Source organism: Homo sapiens, chromosome 11 (assembly GCF_000001405.40).
Source record: "Homo sapiens chromosome 11, GRCh38.p14 Primary Assembly".
Classification (NCBI taxonomy): Eukaryota; Metazoa; Chordata; class Mammalia; order Primates; family Hominidae; genus Homo; species Homo sapiens.
This window is the reverse complement of record NC_000011.10, coordinates 41,293,372-41,314,421: the sequence shown is the minus strand read 5'-3', so window position 1 is coordinate 41,314,421 and position 21,050 is coordinate 41,293,372. Positions and strand designations below refer to the sequence as shown.

Below are 21,050 nucleotides of genomic sequence, written 5' to 3'. Positions count from 1 at the left end.
CAATCTTGAATTGTGCTTATCAACTTCAGTGAATATCAACTAATGGTGCCTAGAACATATTAAGTGATCAATAAGCATTTATTAACATTATTATAACAGTTATTTCACTATTCCTTCATAGGCTAAACTTAACTGATACCTATATACAATGAAACTTAACTTTAGGCATTCAAGGGCAGCTTTAAAAATCTGGATTTAGAGTTGGTAAGAGGAATTCAGCAATACTCCCACATCATTTGTTCTCCTGATTGTGTATTTTAAGTATTTATTCCTTCATTCTCCACCCTCTCCTATTGTGTGTTTTAAGTGTGTATTTCTTCATTCTCCACCCTTTCCCAATCTACCCCCAGCCCCTTACCTCAATCTATTCCCAAGTCCCTTGGACTTCAAAGAAGGAAACTGCCTATGAAGGCATTAGTGTTTCTTAAGGCCAGTATACCCAAAATTATTCATATATTTACAAGATAAACAAGGAAAACAACATTTTTATTTGAATAGATGAATGGATACTGTGACAATTTTTGGCTAATAATGGGATTGCAAAAAAAAATGTCAGAGTAGCACTATTAAGAACCTCGAGAACCTTCCTTTTATATGCAGGCCACTGAAAAATTTATCAAATTTTTAGGCTTATGATAATGGCTGGTTGGATCACAGAATAAATCACAAATATACCACTTTCTAAATTGTTTGTTTTGTATACTTTAATTCTATTGTAGTCTTAAAGCCTGTCTGTTAATAATAGTAATAAAATTAATGGTAATATTAATAGGTCCGAGTATAGACCCTTTAACAATCATTTGTATTCTAAGCACTATCTCTATCCCTGAATTACTATGTAAATGAGCACTGTCTCAAGAGTGGCAGACAAAACATACCTACCAACCCTCAATATGCATTTGTTTTTCTTTCTGGCAGAGTCCTGATTTGGTTAAGGTGTTCATCCTCCAGTGTACTTGGAATGGTGACTATTCCCAGTAATAAGGGTAAACGAAATATGGTGGTTCAATTCTGTTGCCAGTGTTATAATCCAATTCTAGACAAAGTGACACTAGATGACATCTGGCCAGACAGAAGCTTTTGCTAATGATTTTCTTCATTAATTAAAATTAACACATTGAAAACACTATTGTTTGCTAGACATTGTTGGTTCAATACAGCCATGAGAAGAAACAGCCTTGACATGTTGAGGAAGGAGAAGTGGAGAGATGGAAAACTCCCATTTCTTTGAATACAAGACAGAACTTCTTAATTTAACCAACCCTGGAACTGGCCTACTGCCAATTTGAAGAACTGGAGGATAAGAGGCGTATGTATCAAACATACCCTCAACATACTTATCCAGAGCCCCAAAGGCCTTCTCTTACTTTGCTGCTGAAATTCTATGAGATCAGAAAGAGAGGTAAAGTTAATTACTGCCTTTATTACCATGTATTAGTCCAGGACCACTGCAAAATGGCCCCAGTCTTGACATAACATAGGCCACTACTTGTGATGTTTCATGTGGACACTCATTGATGGAAGCGTTTTATGTATACTGCCAACAAAACCAAAACTCAAACCTTTTCCTTGAGAAATATACATGTCAGACCTAAATTGCTAACCCTAAGGAAACCAGGCGTTTTCCCTTCTTTGTTACTTGAGACTCTGCTGCCCATCCCAACTTTGGGAGAGCTGAGGCCCATGGTGACCAATGAGGTCATGAAAAACTTTACCATTCTATTTTATGTTTTAATTAGTGTGTGCTTCTACTGTTTCCTTATGATCCAGGGAAACCTGAACTGTAGTACAACACAGAAAACCCATCTGGTTATAATAATCATAGCTGACATTTATTGAGCTAAGGTCACTATATGCTGTGCACTAATCTCATCAATTCATATGAAATTAATACAGAAATTCTCACAGAGAGACACAGAAATGCAGAAGTGTTCAGCAAATTTCTTAAGATCACACAGTGAACTAGTAACACATCTGAGAGTTGAAGGCAAGTTGTTCAATAATCTGAATTCCTAAACATTACTCTGTACTGGTATAGAATTCATAAAACTGGTTTAACTCCTTTGATTCTTAAAATGGTTCATGAGAATATATTTTTGAAAGTCTCAGGAGCAGTGAGAGTAAGTTCCAAAGCAGAGTAAATGGCAGCATTTTGAAGGGTTTAGAAATAGACTGGGTCATTTAAGAGAATGTAGAATATAGAAACTTAGGTAGGCAGAGGGTATGGGAAAGACAGAAAACCCCAGAAGGAAACATAATCAAACTGGCTAATTCCTGGTTTCTTTCTCCTTTTTGGTCATCCACTTTGTCAAAAAAGAGGAAAAACAGATTCCATATATCAATAGAGGGGCATAGGGATTCATCTGTCAACTAGTGTTAAAGCTTCTGTTAATTGATAAAACGTGTCGGTCTTTGAGCTCTTGCTATCTCAATGGATGCCTGCCTTCTAATTCAAATATTCTCTTGAGACAATAATGATGATGTGGGATAATATCCATGGATTTATGCTGTAAATAAGACAGAGAAACCCCTACTTCCACTGATTGTCACAATACAGGGAAATGGAGGGGTGGCTTATATGTGAGATCTATGACACACGACAGAAAAAATAGAAAGCCAAAATTTGTGATTGAGATAAATCTTATAGCTTTATCTTACATGCTTTACATTTGCTAATACAATTTAATGTCATTTAGTAAATGACTTATTCTAGCTGGTAAAATAATGATACAATATTAGATCACTGCCTCTACAAGGAATTTCTGTGAGTTTAGGCAGGTGATTTAACTCTTAAATGCCAAAATATATTTCCTGGTTAAGTCATTACAAAATGGCTGACTTTATGCATGAGTTATTCATAATACTTAAAAAGTACATGGAACATATATTTTATATCCCAATTGAAAAATACAGTAGAGGAAGTTAGATTTATCTTTATAAGTAGTTTATGTGATGTAACTAAACACATTAACTATCAAAATATCATAAAACTGTGTTCATTTTTTCCCCAACTCTTTAATCTGCTCTTATTTTTTTCAATAAAATAATGAAGAAGCTTAAATGGTGTTTTTTGTTTTGGTTTCTGCTACGAGTGTGACATATAGAAAATAAATCTAAAACTCAAAATGAGCAAGACTCATCAGCACTGAGAACTGAGAACCAATTTCTTAATTTACCATGCTTCCTTGTGCTTCCAGAACTACTGTCCAAAATGAATATATAAAAAAAAATGTGGTTCTAATGCACGGCATAGCTTCACTGCCTGTTGTCATCAGCAGCTCCACAAGCTGAACTGGAGAAAGCTGCTAGTTTGTGAGTTGAGTGTTAGTTTCTCAAAGAATCTCTAGAACTGAACTCCTTTGCTTGTTTACTAAGAATAGATGCGAATCAAATGCCTAGGCACTAAGCGAAGGTTGGAAATAATATTAATACTTGTGTGTGTGAAGGTTGTGCTTTGTTAAATTGCTATATTGTCTTTTAAATTTATCTACAGCCTACCTATAAAGGCAAAAATATATTAGAACCAGTGTACTAAAGGTTTTATAAGGCAGGTGTAAAATTGCTTAGATAGTATACGAAGTTATATTTTAAATTTTATTTTTATCTTAAAATGGAAAATATTACAGGTCCATGTAAATACAAAAAGGCATAAACACAATGTTGGTTTTTTTTATTGTGGCTTTCTTCCACTTTTTATTCTGGTTTTTTAGACTGGTTGCTATGAATGCTGTTGTAAGAAGCTCTAATTTTTAAACTAAGGCTAGACAAATATTCTTTAATAATAATATCTAACACTTGATTACTTGTTAAGAGCCAAGTGTTCTCCTAAGCAGTTGAATGGAGTAATTTATTTAATCTTCACATTAACCCTGAAAGGAATGTACTGTAATTTGCTTGTTTGGTGGTTGAGGAAACTAACACAAAGAACTTGTTCAGAAATTAGAAAAGTTGATCCAGATCTTATAAAAAATAAATGGTGGAGGTGGGTTTGGAACCCAGGCAGTCTGATTCTCTAAATCCAGTCTCTAACTTTACATAATTTCTCTCCAGAAAGAGAAACATTGAGTCGGAGACATTTGTTAAGCCTTATGAGGCACACAGCAACATCAGAGTCCTAATTCTTCTCCTTAAAACATTTCCTCTTTGATTCTGATCTCTTTAATATGTGATGTGATTTGAAAAGAATATTTAAGATGAGATGTGTATTTTGGCTGATACAAAATAGAAACAAAAAACCTCTTTTAGTCTAGACAACATGCCTTTATTAATGCAGCTCAAACTTGCTTTGGATTTTCTGCTTATACTAGTGTATCAAATTAAAATCATGGTCATTGAAACCCTAGTCTTTTCCTTGGGAGGAAATGAGAAATAAAACTCATTGAGACAGAGAAAGGGATGACAGGTGCTGTATAGACAAAGAAGCCAGGAAGGTTTAAGGGCAGATAGGAAATCAACACATCAAAGCGCAGTTGAAGATAGGAGGCGCTAGTGAGATAGCACAAAGGTTACACTACTAGTCAATTATTTCATCGTTTACTAAATTATGTTCAATTGTATTACCAAATGTAGAGCATGTAAGATAAGGCTGTAAGGGTGATGGTAAAAGGCAGAATAGCTGAGCTTGCTAGGCCTGTATTTTCCTAGGTGCATTCATCTGCTAAAAGTGAAAGAGCTCAGCGTGGAATTGAGGCTTTGAAGTGTGCAGGGATTTTATTTTTAACAACTGCTGTGGAAGATTATAATGGGGAGTTAACATATTGGTCTTTATTTATAATTTCTATATATTTCAATGAAGTTGCCACAGAAACCCTGTCATCTTGTACTGCACCTCAATTCAGATTTGACAGTAGGAGTGTGGGAGAGAGGGTGAACTGTGTACATGAGTTTTAATTAATCTCATGGCTGATAGATGTAAAATGGAAATATTCTGGGTATAACCCCTGTTTCTCTATTCTCAACCTCAAAAGAAGCAGCTATGTAATTCCGAAAGTACTCAGGAAGTGTCTTCTGTGTGCTCAAAAAAAGAAATCAGAGACCGCAGAACATCTGCTATCTTCTTCACCATCCTCAGCCTTCTTAGTGGATGGTAATTGCTGCTTTCTGTGGTGAATGAGCCCTGTGCCTCAGTGGACACCAATCCCCATTCAAGTTCACCAGACTGCACAACCCATGTGGCTTCAGAGAGCACTCCCACCCCCCACTATCATTGTCACTGCGGGCTGCGTTTATCTTCCACTGCTACTCAGCAACAGGGGGCTACCTTGTCTACCAGAAAATGCTGTTACCATCAGCCCAGCTGAGTTCTGCAGCAGCCAAGTCTCTGGAGCCCCGGTGTGTGATGTGTAATCCCAGCACTTTGGGAGGCTGAGGCAGGCAGATCACCTGAGGTTGGCAGTTCGAGACCAGCCTGACCAACATGAAGAAACCCCATCTCTACTACAAATACAAAATTAGCCGGGCGTGTTGACGCATGCCTGTAACGCCAGCTACTCGGGAGGCTGAGGCGGGAGAATCACTTGATACCGGGAGGTGGGGGTTGCAGTGAGCTAAGATTGCGCCACTGCACTCCAGCCTGGGTGACAAGAGCAAAACTCTGTCTAAAAAAAAAAAAAGAAAAAAAGAGACGTTGTATCTGCAGGGGTTTCCTGCACTGTTTGCGTTTGGCCCAATGTCTTCTGTGAAACAACTTTTTTTTTCAGGTTTTGTTTTCTTGTTTTAATAGCCCTTTGCTCTTCAGAAAACCCAAGCATGCATAGGGGAGCTGGGCTGGGAGAGAAAACCAAGTAATCATCTTAAAAATCAGAATATCTCTTCGCTTTGAATACCTGTGGTTTTAATATTGGCCCAAGCTTTTTGTGCCTGATTTGGCTTTCTTTAGAATGTGCTTTGTTTTGTTGACTGTAGATAGGCTTTTGATGCCCCTGTCCCCACCCAGCAGGGGACAGATATGACAAAAACACCTTGGCGGTGGACACAGCACAGGATCAGGCCAGCCTCCTGTTACATGGTAATGTCACGTTCTACTGCCGGTTTTGAGCTGCTTAGGAAAAGGTATCCAAAAAATGAATAGTCAGCCCTGTGTTGTTCTGTTAGTGCTCACGCTGTTGCAAAAAAAAATCTTTCACCAGGTATTCATAAGCCCCCAGAATGTATGCGTTTTTCTCCAGAGTGAAAAAAAGCAATCCCTCAGAGTTTTAACCTTTGGAAGTAACATCTGTCATTGGAAGGTTACTTGTGTGAAGTCCGCAAGCTACCTTTGGTGAAAGAGGGACAAGATGGCAACTTTACTGATTTCTCCCAAGCCTAGTCTATATCAATACTATTTATTCAAGGTTCTATGTTGTGGAAAGTTCCTTCCTGCCTATTTGCTGATCTGCTGAAAGTGATGGCTATACCCTCATGCTGGTCACCTACAGGTCCTAAGGGTCATGCAATCCTTATAAAAGGACATGAGTCTGAATGTGGGCGATGGAGACACAAAGCTCTCTGTCTCTCTTAGGTCTGCTCATTACCATTCCCCAAATTAGTCTCCCCAAAAGGAAATCTTCATAGTTTCACTTCACCTTTTTAATCCCCATGAAAATGGTATAATGACTAAACTCCTAAAATGAAATTGTGTTTTAAATAAAGGGAAGAAGGGAGGCGGGGAAGACATTTCCATTCTGAAGAATCTCAAATTGTGTCTCCTATTGTGGCTGATCTTTAAGATGCACGTGGGAAAAGCCCAGGCTTTTTGGAAGGGTGGCTCCCCTCCCAGACACAGAGGCCATGCACAAAGTCACTTGGTAATGAGATTCTTCACAGAGCAAACTGCACTGTCCATTCATATTTCTTTTCCACCTGTCCCCACAATGGTGTCTGTTTGCTCAGCCCACATGCAACAAGGCTGTGTTTGTAAGTAAGGGCCCATTCATTGGCTGACTACTTAGAAGTCTTGACAGAAAATCTCATGAAAAGCTTCTCAATTCAAATTCCTCTTTAATGACTTGCTTCATTCACCAGGGATGGCAGGGGGAGGGTCCCTGGGGCTTGACTTCTTCCACTATGGAAGACAAGAAAGCATTTTTTATAGGGCTCCTGACGTGCCATGGTTATTAAACGACAGGTTATGGTGAAAGATTGAAGGAGGAATCGTCTTCTTTTTTTTTTGAAATAGAAACTTAATTAAGCTCATAAAATATGTAATCTCCAACTATCACTGGTGCTTGCATTTTGAAAGAAAAAAAATTGAGTTGTTATTTAAGTTTTCATTTTGACTTTTTCCCCTTCAGCAGAAGGAGTCTCTCCCCCAAGCCGTATCCCCTCACCCTAGCCTCCAAGGATTAGGAAGTTGCATGATTCCTTTTCTCTTGAGCTGCTTAAATATCATATTGTGAGAGAATTACATTTGTAGTTACTGTTGGTAACAAAGCCAAAGTTCAAACTACAACTATCTAGATTTGATGGTCTGGGATGCCATTTAGTTACTTAAGGTACATGAAACATGGAAAAATATCTCTGTGTATTTGATTCTCTCTTTGATCTCTTTGTGTGTGTCTTCTTAATTTTTCGAAGAAAGCCATTGGGTACTAGATAAGCAACTACTTAAACTTTCCTTAATAAGTGCATGATATGCAAAGTTACAGTGGAGCAAAACAGGAGTGTTTCTGAGCCTAGTTCCAAGCATTATCTTTCTTAAGTAACTTTGTTCAAATCCGCCCACCCAAGGTTAAAGGAATTCCCCCATAGACTTCCTTATACCCTGTGCTTCTTCTTTCATATTACTCATCACCATCAGTGACATATTTTAATTCTTGAACTTCCCCCTTTAGCATGCATTCTCCATGAGTTCAGGGACTGTGTCTGACACATTCACTGCAGGATACTCTCCACTTAGAATAGCACATGGTGTGTAGTATATGCGCAGTGTGTATTTCTTGAGGGAAAGAATGACTAATTCACAGACTGCCACTCTTTACATTTCCAAAGAGCCTTTTAACAAAAATATTTCGAAGAGGAGTAGATACTAAATGGGAGAAAACAAAGTGAAGTCTCAATTTTACCATTAAAATGCATTGCTTCTTCCCTTTGTATTACAGCATTAACTGTATTAGAGTGCAAAGTACTGAAGGTGAGACAAAGATACTACTAGCTTTCTGTGAGCTTAAGAACTAGTAGTGGTAATAGTAAAGGTAGAATCGTTGTATGTTATAAAAGAGAGAGAAACAAAGTGCTCTGGAAATCCAGACAAGACAAATTTTACTTGAAGGATCAGGATGTCTTCATGAAAGAGCTTTGAGGGTGAAGTAAGTGAGCCTCTAGACTGAGGTGAAAAATTTAATGAGGCATCAAAAAACTCAGTAATCAAAACAAACAGTAATTTAATGCAGTATTTTTCTTTCTTTTTTTTTTTTTTTTTTTAGAGAAAGAAATAAGGGGGCCCAGGGGGCCAGCGTTCAGCATACGGAGGATCCCGCCAGCCTCTGAGTTCCCTTAGTATTTATTTATTTTATTTTATTATTTTTTTTTAATTTATTTTTTTATTGATAATTCTTGGGTGTTTCTCACAGAGGGGGATTTGGCAGGGTCATGGGACAATAGTGGAGGGAAGGTCAGCAGATAAACAAGTGAACAAAGGTCTCTGGTTTTCCTAGGCAGAGGACCCTGCGGCCTTCCGCAGTGTTTGTGTCCCTGGTTACTTGAGATTAGGGATTGGTGATGACTCTTAACGAGCATGCTGCCTTCAAGCATCTGTTTAACAAAGCCCATCTTGCACCGCCCTTAATCCATTTAACCCTGAGTGGACACAGCACATGTTTCAGAGAGCACAGGGTTGAGGGTAAGGTCACAGATCAACAGGATCCCAAGGCAGAGGAATTTTTCTTAGTGCAGAACAAAATGAAAAGTCTCCCATGTCTACTTCTTTCTACACAGACACGGCAACCATCCGATTTCTCAATCTTTTCCCCACCTTTCCCGCCTTTCTATTCCACAAAGCCGCCATTGTCATCCTGGCCCGTTCTCAATGAGCTGTTGGGCACACCTCCCAGACGGGGTGGTGGCCGGGCAGAGGGGCTACTCACTTCCCAGTAGGGACGGCCGGGCAGAGGCGCCCCTCACCTCCCGGATGGGGCGGCTGGCCGGGCAGGGGGGCTGACCCTCCCCCACCTCCCTCCCGGAGAGGGCGGCTGGCCGGGCGGGGGGCTGACCCCCCCACCTCCCTCCCGGACGGGGCGGCTGGCCGGGCAGAGGGGCTCCTCACTTCCCAGTAGGGGCGGCGGGGCAGAGGCGCCCCTCACCTCCCGGACGGGGCGGCTGGCCGGGCAGGGGGGCTGACCCCCCCCACCTCCCTCCCGGACGGGGCGGCTGGCCGGGCCGGGGGGCTGACCCCCCCCCCACCTCCCTCCCGGACGGGGCGGCTGGCCGGGCAGAGGGGCTCCTCACTTCCCAGTAGGGGCGGCCGGGCAGAGGCGCCCCTCACCTCCCGGACGGGGCGGCTGGCCCAGCAGGTGGGCTGACCCCCCCCCACCTCCCTCCCGGATGGGGCGGCTGGCCGGGCGGAGGGCTGATACCCCCACCTCCCTCCCGGATGGGGCGGCTGGCCGGGCGGGGGGCTGACCCCCCCACCTCCCTCCCGGATGGGGCGGCTGGCCGGGCGGGGGGCTGACCCCCCCACCTCCCTCCCAGACGGGGCGGCTGGCCGGGCGGGGGGCTGATACCCCCACCTCCCTCCCGGACGGGGTGGCTGGCCGGGCGGGGGGCTGACCCCCCAACCTCCCTCCCGGATGGGGCGGCTGGCTGGGCGGAGGGCTGACCCCCCCACCTCCCTCCCAGACGGGGCGGCTGGCCGGGCGGGGGGCTGACCCCCCCACCTCCCTCCCAGACGGGGCGGCTGGCCGGGCGGGGGGCTGATACCCCCACCTCCCTCCCGGACGGGGCGGCTGGCCGGGCAGAGGGGCTCCTCACTTCCCAGTAGGGGCGGCCGGGCAGAGGCGCCCCTCACCTCCCAGACGGGGCGGCTGGCCGGGCGGAGGGCTGACCCCCCCACCTCCCTCCCGGACAGGGCGGCTGGCCGGGCGGAGGGCTGACCCCCCCACCTCCCTCCCGGACGGGGCGGCTGGCCGGGCAGAGGGGCTCCTCACTTCCCAGTAGGGGCGGCCGGGCAGAGGCGCCCCTCACCTCCCAGACGGGGCAGCTGGCTGGGCGGAGGGCTGACCCCCCCACCTCCCTCCCGGACGGGGCGGCTGGCCAGGCGGGGGGCTGACCCCCCCACCTCCCTCCCGGACGGGGCGGCTGGCCGGGCTGAGGGGCTCCTCACTTCCCAGTAGGGGCGGCCGGGCAGAGGCGCCCCTCACCTCCCGGACGGGGTGGCTGGCTGGGCGGGGGGCTGACCCCCCACCTCCCTCCCGGATGGGGCGGCTGGCCGGGCGGGGGGCTGACCCCCCCCACCTCCCTCCCGGACGGGGTGGCTGCCGGGCGGAGACGCTCCTCACTTCCCAGATGGGGTGGCTGCCGGGCGGAGAGGCTCCTCACTTCTCAGACCGGGCAGCTGCTGGGCGGAGGGGCTCCTCACTTCTCAGACGGGGTGATTGCCAGGCAGAGGGTCTCCTCACTTCTCAGACAGGGCGGCCGGGCAGAGACGCTCCTCACCTCCCAGACGGGGTCTCGGCCGGGCAGAGGCGCTCCTCACATCCCAGATGGGGCGGCGGGGCAGAGGCGCTCCCCACATCTCAGACGATGGGCGGCCGGGCAGAGACGCTCCTCACTTCCTAGATGTGATGGCGGCTGGGAAGAGGCGCTCCTCACTTCCTAGATGGGATGGCGGCCGGGCGGAGACGCTCCTCACTTTCCAGACTGGGCAGCCAGGCAGAGGGGCTCCTCACATCCCAGACGATGGGCGGCCAGGCAGAGACACTCCTCACTTCCCAGATGGGGTGGCGGCCGGGCAGAGGCTGCAATCTCGGCACTTTGGGAGGCCAAGGCAGGCGGCTGGGAGGTGTAGGTTGTAGTGAGCCGAGATCACGCCCCTGCACTCCAGCCTGGGCACCATTGAGCACTGAGTGAACGAGACTCCGTCTGCAATCCCGGCACCTCGGGAGGCCGAGGTTGGCAGATCACTCGCGGTTAGGGGCTGGAGACCGGCCCGGCCAACACAGCGAAACCCCGTCTCCACCAAAACCAGTCAGGCGTGGCGGCGCGTGCCTGCAATCGCAGGCATTCGGTAGACTGAGGCAGGAGAATCAGGCAGGGAGGTTGCAGTGAGCCGAGATGGCAGCAGTACAGTCCAGCTTCGGCTCCGCATGAGAGGGAGACCGTGGGGTGAGGGAGAGGGAGAGGGAGAGGGAGAGGGAGAGGGAGAGGGACTAATGCAGTATTTTTCTAAAAATCCATATAAACACCAAAAAACATGATGAACAAAATATTAACATTTTAATAAAGACAGGACCAGTATTGCTGATTTTTGCTTTTGCCTCAGGCTCCGTTATGACTTGGAAAGTCATTGGTAGTTAATTTTAAAGAGATAATATTTTGCAAACAGAGATTTAGGAGAGTTGGTCACAGCACTGAAGAGAAAATGAAACGATGCTTTGGGAGTATAGTGGGCAATTGTGATATTCTAGGTCACAAGTCAAAGACTTAGATCACGAATTTAGGGTAAGACTAAATTATGAACAACTTAGAATCTCTGGCTCAAAATCTGGCATTATTATTAAAACAATGAAGAACTGTTGAAGACTTTTAAGCAGAGAAAGTAATATTATTTTGAAAATAATAATGAATACATTTTTAAAGTTCAATATGAAATTTAATCTGACAACAGAATAGAAATCTCTTCTGTTATTTTTGTTTCTTTCTTTAATAGGCAATTTATCGGAAAATGTTACCGATTTGTGCCATTTGATGTGCATCAAACTCGAAAACAAAGTTTGTATTTGATCCAAGTACTTACAGACTTTGTTTAATTTGTCCTACTACAAAAATAGTAATGAAAATGCTGGATAAATTGTATCACCACTGAGAGATCACTACCTAATTAGACAATGCTTAAGCAGAACTACTGAAAGGTTCTGTCTCTCTCAACTTTGCCTCTTCTGTGATTGCGTAGCTTCCCCTCCCTTGTTTCTGAGTAATGCATGTATCCCTTGGATATATTAACACTTCAATAAGGTTACAGTCCATTCCACATTTCCTCTCAAATATTTATCTATTTGAGGTGATAGTCAATTTCTGTTATAACCTATTATGTGCTTATTTCAAAGTTTATCTCTGAGAAGGCAGGCATTGTATCCTAATTTCCAATTTTTGAGTCATCCTCACTGCTGTACCCAATTTAAATATATGTTGTTTGAATTTAACAGTGTTTCCTGAAATGCAATGGTGAATTGTATATTACATTATATTACAGGATCAAGGTTAAATTTTCTGAAATTATTAGGAGTAAAAGGGCATGATATCTGCAATGTACTGTCAAATGTCAATAAATAAAAATAATGGTATAGAGTAAAAGTAGTGGAAGTAAATAGTATACAGTAAACAACTGGGAAAGCAACAGTGTCAAGATATCAACAATGGTGAATCTGGGTGAAAAATATAGGGCAGTTTATCGTTCTTATCTTGCAAATTTTCTGTAAGCTTAAAATAACCAAAGACAGAGGAGAACTAGCCTATCCTAAATGATTTATATGTATATTAAAAACTCTCTCCTCTGATGAAATTGGGGGGAGTTTTTGTTTAGCTAAGTCATGAAAGTCATAAAAAGATGGAATTATAAGAAAATTATTTAATATCTGACAGAAATAGCATCCAGTCACTAGTCTATGGTTCCAGAGACATGCCTTTCTTGGAGTTTCTTTACATCACTTAGGAGTTCTGAGTCACTGTGCTTGCATAGACCATTGTTATATTATAATATTTAATTATCTTTTCAGTTTCTCTAAAGTAGAGATAGCATTACGAAAAAGAAAAACTTGCAAGGCAATTTAAATACAAAACTCTTTTGGTTTTCATAATTTTTCTCTCTGCTTTTTAGGTTTTTCCCACCCCCATCAATTTGACAACAAAGCTTTTAGCAACTCACTAACATCAAAACTTTACAAAGCATTCAACTAGGTTCTCATAGAAAGGGAATTCTTTCTTTTTCAGCACACGTTTCATCAGTTTATTTAGTATTAAAGTAAATGACGTAATTCCAATAAGAAGTAGATAGGTTTGGGAAACAGTACAATCAGCACTTGGCAAGCATCCACTTCAACTCACAGGAGCAGAGGTGCATATCCTTACTAAAGCACAGCAGCAAATACACAGTGGGCTGTGAATAAGCATAGCACATTTACAGAGAATCGAGAGAATCAGCTAATTCAGTGGTTCCACTAACTTGACGGCATTTAAGAGGGTTTTTACTACATTCTAATTTTGTTTTAATATCCAAACAAAAATTTTAAAACTTCAAATTGTTTAAATTTAAGTTGTTATCAGTGATGACTCATAACAACCTCAAATTCCTCTTCCTCCCAGGCCTCTCTCTGCCTCTACCATAAAAATAATTATAGATTGGGAAATTAAATTTTGCTAAAGATGTAACAAGTAGTATTTTACATGAAATGTTAAAGGGGGATAGAAACAGTGATATACTGGGGCTTTCAAGGGCAGAGGTGCAAGCAAAATTTGCTAATTAGATACATGATTGCTGACTCTTTGGACTAATGGACATAGTTAAGTTCTGGTTAGCTTTGGATAGCTGGGGATGTCAAGGTAGAGGAAGGTGTCAGGAGAACATAAAAGGATTTTTGTAAAGAAAGAAGAATTCTCCTCTGCACTGCACCCTTGAAGATCTGTGGCCTCGGAAAGGGAAGAAAAGAGAAATAGAGAGAAGCCAGGAATTGTTCATAAAGATTGACACGACATTCCCACATCATTGAAGAGAGGACGTTAGTTCCAGAGTTCAGTGACCTGTGGTAGAATCTGTGAGAAAGTTTTGATTTCTTCCTTCTGAGAGGAACCTGAGATTTATAGGAAAAAAATCCCCTTAGTTCTCCAAGGACCTAAGCAAAAGAAAACACAGTAGGCCCAGGAAAGGAAGTCAAATAAACTAATAGAAGCCTAAAGTGAAGTCACTTAATATTTTGGAGAAGATTCCAGTGTGGTAAGCCTTGGGCAAGTTGCAGCCTTAAAGTTTCATGCTGAATGTTGCAAATGAAGCTCTCCAGTAAAGCAAAGTACCTCACAAATTTTAACATGCAATTAAAACTGCTAAGTGTTAGTAAATAATTTCCCCAGTGACACTTCAAATTCTAAATGCTGAGTTCAAACTGATAATGTTATCCCAATCTCACTGTGACTACATTGACCTGTTACCTAATTCTGTTTATGGTCCCATGATTTCAGCAAAATTATTTTTGATTCTACCTTTATATACAAGCTGCTCTAATGACTGTATACTCATGATGTTCTTGGAAAACTTATTCCATTTTCATATAAATCCAGTCAAAACACTGATACCTAATTGAACCAGAATGTGCTTTCCTATATATATCAACCATCAGTTTGTTTATTTTGGTCCAGTAAAATAAGTTCATTTCCCTTCTAGACAATAGCCTCTCAAATATATGAATAGTTATCAAGTCTTCATAAACAAATTCTTGTTGTCTCTGAAAGAAAAAATAAACTTATTGCTTCTAGAAAATTTTCTTCTCTTTATAAATAGCATTGGATTATTTGAAAATTTCAATGTTTATTGTTTGAAATAAAGATGTACTTTTTATTCAGCCCGACTGCATAATTTAGAATGCTTTTATATTTCTAAATTCATGATGGATCATAAATTCACTTTATTTTACAAAATACCCTCTCTCCTAAACTTAGTGATCCTATTTTCCCATTCATGTATTTATAACAGATCAAACAAACTGGTGACTTTTTGACTATAGGATATAGATTGATAACTGGATATAGAAACTACCAGAAAATCTCTAAGACATTATGACATTTTAAGGCAATTCAAGTAGGTAGGAAATTAAAAATAATAAAGTGGGCTTCAACTGTGATTGTTGAAGTGAGTAAATTTACGCAGGTTTGATGCAATGTAACCTTAATGAAAAAGAATGCTAAAGTTGTTTACAATTATAAGAAAGTTTGATATTATTGTTTTTACCTTTCTCCTAATCTGTTGGCGGCTATAACTCATTTCTCTGCTTTTAAGTGGTTCTGAGAGAATAAAAATAATCAGTGGAAAACAGTGTGAAGATTTCTCAAGTAAATAAAAATAAAACTACTATCTGATCCAATAATCCCACTATTAGGTATATACCCAAGGGAACAGAAATCTTTTTATGAAAAAGACACTGGCATTCCTATGTTTATCACAGCACTATTCACGATAGCAAAGATATGGAGTCAGCCTGTCCATCAAATAATGATTAAAGAAAATGTGGTATATATACATAATGGAATACTATTCAGGCATAAAAATAAAAACATGTCTTTTGCAGCAACATGGATGGTACTGGGAGCCATTATCTTAAAGGAGGCAACTCAGAAATAGAATGTCAAATACCACATTCTCACTTATAAATGATAGCTGAATAACGTACACAAATGAACATAGAGTGTAAAACAATAGTCACTGGAGACTCACAAGGGTGGAAGGGCAAGGGTGGGTGGGAGATGAGAAATTACTTAATGGGTACAATGTACACTATTTGGGTAATAGTCATACAAAAAGCCCAGAGTTCACCAGTACAAATTGTATCTATGTAAAAAAACTGCACTTGCACCCCTTAAATTTATTCAAGTTAAAAATAATGATCAATCAAGAGAAAAATATATATTCTTGTGTTTGTTTTATTTTGTTGTTTTATTTTGGCCTTATTACTCATAGGCCCTACGTTTAGAGACTGAATCACTTGGATGGCTACAGGTCACTTGGATACTGCCTGTTGCCCATATCCATTCTGTTTCTTTCTTAACAATTCAATAATGACTGCGTTTAGCTTACAGGTGGTGAGTATCCAGCTTAAAAAAAAAAAAAGTTCACTTTCCGGGGTTCAGACATCTAGGGACAGCCATGTGACACATTTCTGTCTAATGTGATTTTGAAAGAAGTCCCAGGAGAGCATGACTTCTGGGAAAAAAAGACAAGGCCTTGCTAGGAGAGAGACCTTCTTCCCTTCTTTTATCTCTTTCTTCTGTCTGTAATTTGTACTTGAAATCTGGAGCCCCAGCAATCATTTTGTTGACAAACTGAGGCAGCGACAAGTATAAAGAACTGCAAACTAAAAACTGCTGAGCAGGAAGATGGGAAGTACATGGCTTTCTGGTAACATTACTGAGCTACAGTGCCAGCTCAATAATAACTAGTACCACATTTATTGCTGCAGAAGACGCACACATTTCTTACCTGTCGGTATTCCTATTAGTTGGATTTTATCTTATTTGCAGCTGAATACATCTCCTGATTGATATAAGGGTGTGTCTTTCCCAAGGCTATCTCTGGGTTATTACTGATCTAGATTATTAAAAATTAAAAGTAATATTAAAAGGTAATAGTGAAATATAAAAGCTTTGGGGGTCCTGTCAATCATCTGTTATTTCTGAATACCAGATTCTGCGGATAAATATGCTTCCTGATCTATCTATACATTAAATTCTTATCATTATATTGAAAAGGATCCTTAACATATTTTAAAGTGATCCATTTATAAAATTTTGCCATGGTTTAGGTATCAAAAATGTAAAACTTTTTACTTCTATTAGTGTATTGAAATATATAGTAAACAGGCAGAGAGTATTTTCCATTTATCGTTAGTAGAAATGTGGTTAATATACTGCACAAATACTTCAGCAAGGGCAGGGATATCATTTCATATGTTATCAAAAATGTTTGTTTTTGCCAAAAAATCTAAGTTTTTATTCAATACTAAGGTGACTTCTACTTGTTCCACCCTCTTCTTCATTAACTTTATTTCTTTTATTCTTAGCAAACACTGATACTTTTTAAATTCTTCCAAGAAAATAGAGCTGGAGAGAATACTTCTAAACACATTTTACAAGGCCAGTATCACCTTGATACCTAAACCAGACAAAGAATCACAAGGGAACAAAACCATAGACCAATTTCTCTGATGAATATTGATGGAAACAATTCTCAATAAAATACTAGCAAACCGAATCCAATAACGCATCAAAAAGATTATACTTTGTGACCAAGTGGGGTTTATTCCTGGTGTGTATGCCTGCTTGAAAAATACACAAATTAATCAATGTGATACATTTCATTAATGGAATGAAAAATAAAAACCACATGATCATCTCAATTGACAGAGAAAGAAACATTTGACAAAATCCAAGATTCTTTCTTGATAAAATCTCTCAACCGTTTTGATATAGAAGAAAAGTTTCTCAACATAATAAAGGGCATTTATGGGAAAACCATAGCAAACATTATAATCAATGGAATAAAATGGGAAACTTTTCCATTAAGATCCGGTAAAAGAAAAGTGTGGACTTTCTCACTGCTTGTATGCAGCTTCAGGAATTTTATTAAAATATTGACAAATTCAAGAAGTACTTTTTATTATCTAATATCACTGAAATGATAAGAAGAAAAGTAGATATACCATAGCCTTTTTATATCAATGTTTTAAGTAATTTTTCTTCCGGACATAAAGATTGAGACAGTAGTCGTGTTGTTGTGAGAGTTTAAGAAATAAGAAAGAAAAAAAAATGCTAAGGAATGTACTTTCTTTAGTTTCTTGGCTAGGTTCCCAAAGTGAAAGAGGTTGTTTTGGATTTTGCTCTCGTTCTTATTTGGGGACCTCAAAAAAGCACAGCATAGGCCCAATTCACTCATGCCTGTAATCCCAGCACACTGGGAGGCTGAGGTGGGCTAATCACCTGAGGTCAGGAATTCAAGACCGGTCCGGTCAACATGGTGAAACCCCGTCTCTACTAAAAATACAAAAATTAGCTGGGTACGGTGGTGAGTGCCTGTAATCCCAGATACTCAGGAGGCTGAGGCAGGAGGATCACTTGAACCTGGGAGGCAGAGGCTGCACTGAGCCGAGATCACACCGCTGCACTCCAGGCTGGGCAACAGAGCGAGACTTGGTCTCAAAAGAAAAAAAAAAAAGCACAGCATAATTTGTCACCAGCAATAACATATATTATTAATAAAAGAAACAGGGACTCAGAACAACCGCCAGGATTTCTTGTGAAAGCAGGGAAGATCCTATCGGAAGTACACTGTTCTGCAATGCAATATTGGTTTCTGAGCACTGAGATTCTGTCCCTCACAATTTTTAAAAAATCTTTGCCAATTCATAGTAAAATATAATGTAGGAAATATTGATCCACACTTCATTCTCCCTTTCTGTTAGCTTACTTTCTGTACCAAGCTCTGAAAGAGAGTGATCCATAATCTTACAGGAACATGGGATTTTATTTACTCATATTGCTTTGGGAAATATCCAACAAAAATGAGAGTAAGTTCTGGGAGATACAGCTAAACATGGATTAGATATTTCTTATCGTGTCACCTCTGTGGCAAGCCACTTGAGCAGGGCTTAGCAAAATAGTGTTCAAACTTGCCAATAGATGTCTAAATGAAATCATTCAATCCAGTCAATCCCAAGCCCTTCCCTCACAGAACCACTTGACTTTAGTCAAGAAAATGGGTTAAACATCAGGTAGATGGAAATAATAAAAAGGCAGCTTGGAAAGGATAATATAAGACATGATATGATATGATCTGTGATATTGTGATCTGTGAAGGCTTGAAAGTCATGAAGAATGAAGTTCCCGGAGTCAGGTTATGTACTAAACTCTAAGAATTAAAAAAAAAAAAAATGTTTGTTGCCCTGAACGTATAAACTCAAAAAGAGTTATTTATGTTTATTTCTCTCTAGTTTTTCATAATTACAAAAATAATACACTAAGCAGTTTCCTGAACTGGGGAAACCACGTCATCTAAAACCCCACAACTAACACAACTGTAATCCCAGCTAAGCCTCTTTCCTTTTCCATTGTTGTCTTCATGAATAGGAGTTGTATATTGCTAAATCACCACAAACATTTTATTTACTATCTGCTTTTTTTTACCGCATATTGTATATTCTATTGACTCAGTTGGTAAACTACATTAGATACTAAAATATAGGGATGGTCCATTTATTTTTTCCAATGTTGTTAATATTTATAACTATATTTCTGTCACAGCCTTTCCATAAAGTGTGATAATTACAACATATTTTTAACAGTGCTCTTATTTTTTGGATATGTATCTTGGTTCCAATTTTCCACTATTTTAGGATAAGGCTGCAATGCTTTATTTCCCTCTTTGAATTAGTTTCTCATGATAGATCACAGAATGAAATAGTGTAAGCATTTTATGGATTTGAATACATATGACTCATGCTAATTTACAATAACAACCGTGTGTAAGTGTACTATCAGCAATTCAGTGTTACATTATTAATGCATTTTAAAAATAATCACCAATACTATGGGCAAAACTCATTGTTATAAGAGGGATTGTTAGGCTTTATTTAGCCTACTCAGAACTTCTAAGAATTATATTCTGTAAGTCATTGCTGCATTTATGATTAAAAACATTTTAACTTTATAGACAGTGTGCATTATGACTCAATTACCCTTATCCTTGTTAATTCCCTTTTCCTGCTATAATAGTTTTATTGGGATACATTATGAAACTTGTAAAACCATAAATAGCCATGGATCGTATTGCATTCTGAAAAGAGTGAGTTCCATTGGAATATAAAACCAAATGAAAAATGAAACTTTATGCACATTTTAACATTAAAGAAATGGGATAATATGATAGAGTAAATCTTACCTCTTAAAATTCTTGTGCATTATACATTCTCATAAATAAAATATATTCTACTATAAGGACAAAATAGAAATACATCTTTCTTTAGGACAAATCATTTGATTATTCAATTACTCATGTATACCCACAGTAGTCTCTGCTTTCCTAAGGTTGAGGAAGGAAGGCAAATCCTGTACAGAGGTGAACAAAACTGAGGATCGAAATTGACCAATCCAAAAATCACAGCTGACTAAGTAAGTGAGAGCCCCAAGTCTCACCTGATACTCTGTGCGAAGTCCTTTTCTCTCACACTCTGTGACCTGGATTTTTCAGAGTTCTTTGTTTCTTCCTCAAGTGATTTTTTGTTTTTGAGGCTTAAACATTGGACCAAAGCCTAGGCAATGTGTGTGTGAATAGTACATTCTCTTTGGGGAAATAAATGGGTAGATACTTGAGCATGATCCCAGAGCTAAGAATAACTCTAAACTGTCTATAGAAGTTGGCCTGGATTTTAGTCTTTCACACCACTTCGAAGGTTTATAAGACTGGGTAACTACATTTTTCTGTTCTATGTAGTGAGTGCATCAAGGATATAAAAATGAAGCCACTGAGTTCAATTGTCTTTCATTTAAAAGGCTCAAAATGTGTGTCTGTGTGTGTGTTTCTTTGTGTGTGCACATATGTGTATCAGCATGCATATATTGCTGTGTTTAATAACATTGGCCGGGCGAGGTGGCTCACACCTGTAATCCCTGCATGTTGGGAGGCCGAGGCAGGTGGATCACCTGAGGTCAAGAGTTCGAGACAAGCCTGGCATACGTGGTGAAACCTGTCTCTGTTAAAAATACAAAAATTAGCTGGACATGATGGCACGCACCTGTAATCCCAGCTACTCGGGAGGCTGAGGCAGGAGAATCACTTGAACCCAGGAGGCAGAGTTAGCAGTGAGCTAAGATCGCGGCCATTGTACTCCAGCCTGGGCCACAGGAGTGAAACTCCATCTCAAAAAATAAAATAAAATAAAAATAAAAATAAAATAAAAAAATAAAATAACATGATTAGTGAAGTATTTTAAATTACAAATTAACACATGCTCATTGTAAAAAGTGTGTGATATTAACCTACACAGGGCAAAAACAATGAAAATTGTCTTCTCATTTGCCTCTCATCAACAGTCTAAAATTTAATCACTATTAATAGTTCTATATACGTTTTTCTAAATTCTTACCGTATGTATATCTATGTA

General features: G+C 40.4%; 1 protein-coding gene across 17 annotated transcripts in view, besides 1 other annotated feature; it reads left to right on the top strand.

Moving 5' to 3' along the window:
- The window catches only part of LRRC4C (leucine rich repeat containing 4C), a 1,345,454-nt gene that overhangs the window by 145,231 nt on the left and 1,179,173 nt on the right, over nucleotides 1–21,050 (top strand). The window lies entirely within an intron of this gene.
- Nucleotides 10,946–11,604: an enhancer, noted in NCBI's record as "H3K27ac-H3K4me1 hESC enhancer chr11:41324368-41325026 (GRCh37/hg19 assembly coordinates)". NCBI's record gives its function as "activates a minimal SCP1, AML or CMV promoter by ChIP-STARR-seq in primed H9 embryonic stem cells {active_cell/tissue: H9 hESC(primed)}" and the evidence as "EXISTENCE:reporter gene assay evidence [ECO:0000049][PMID:30033119]".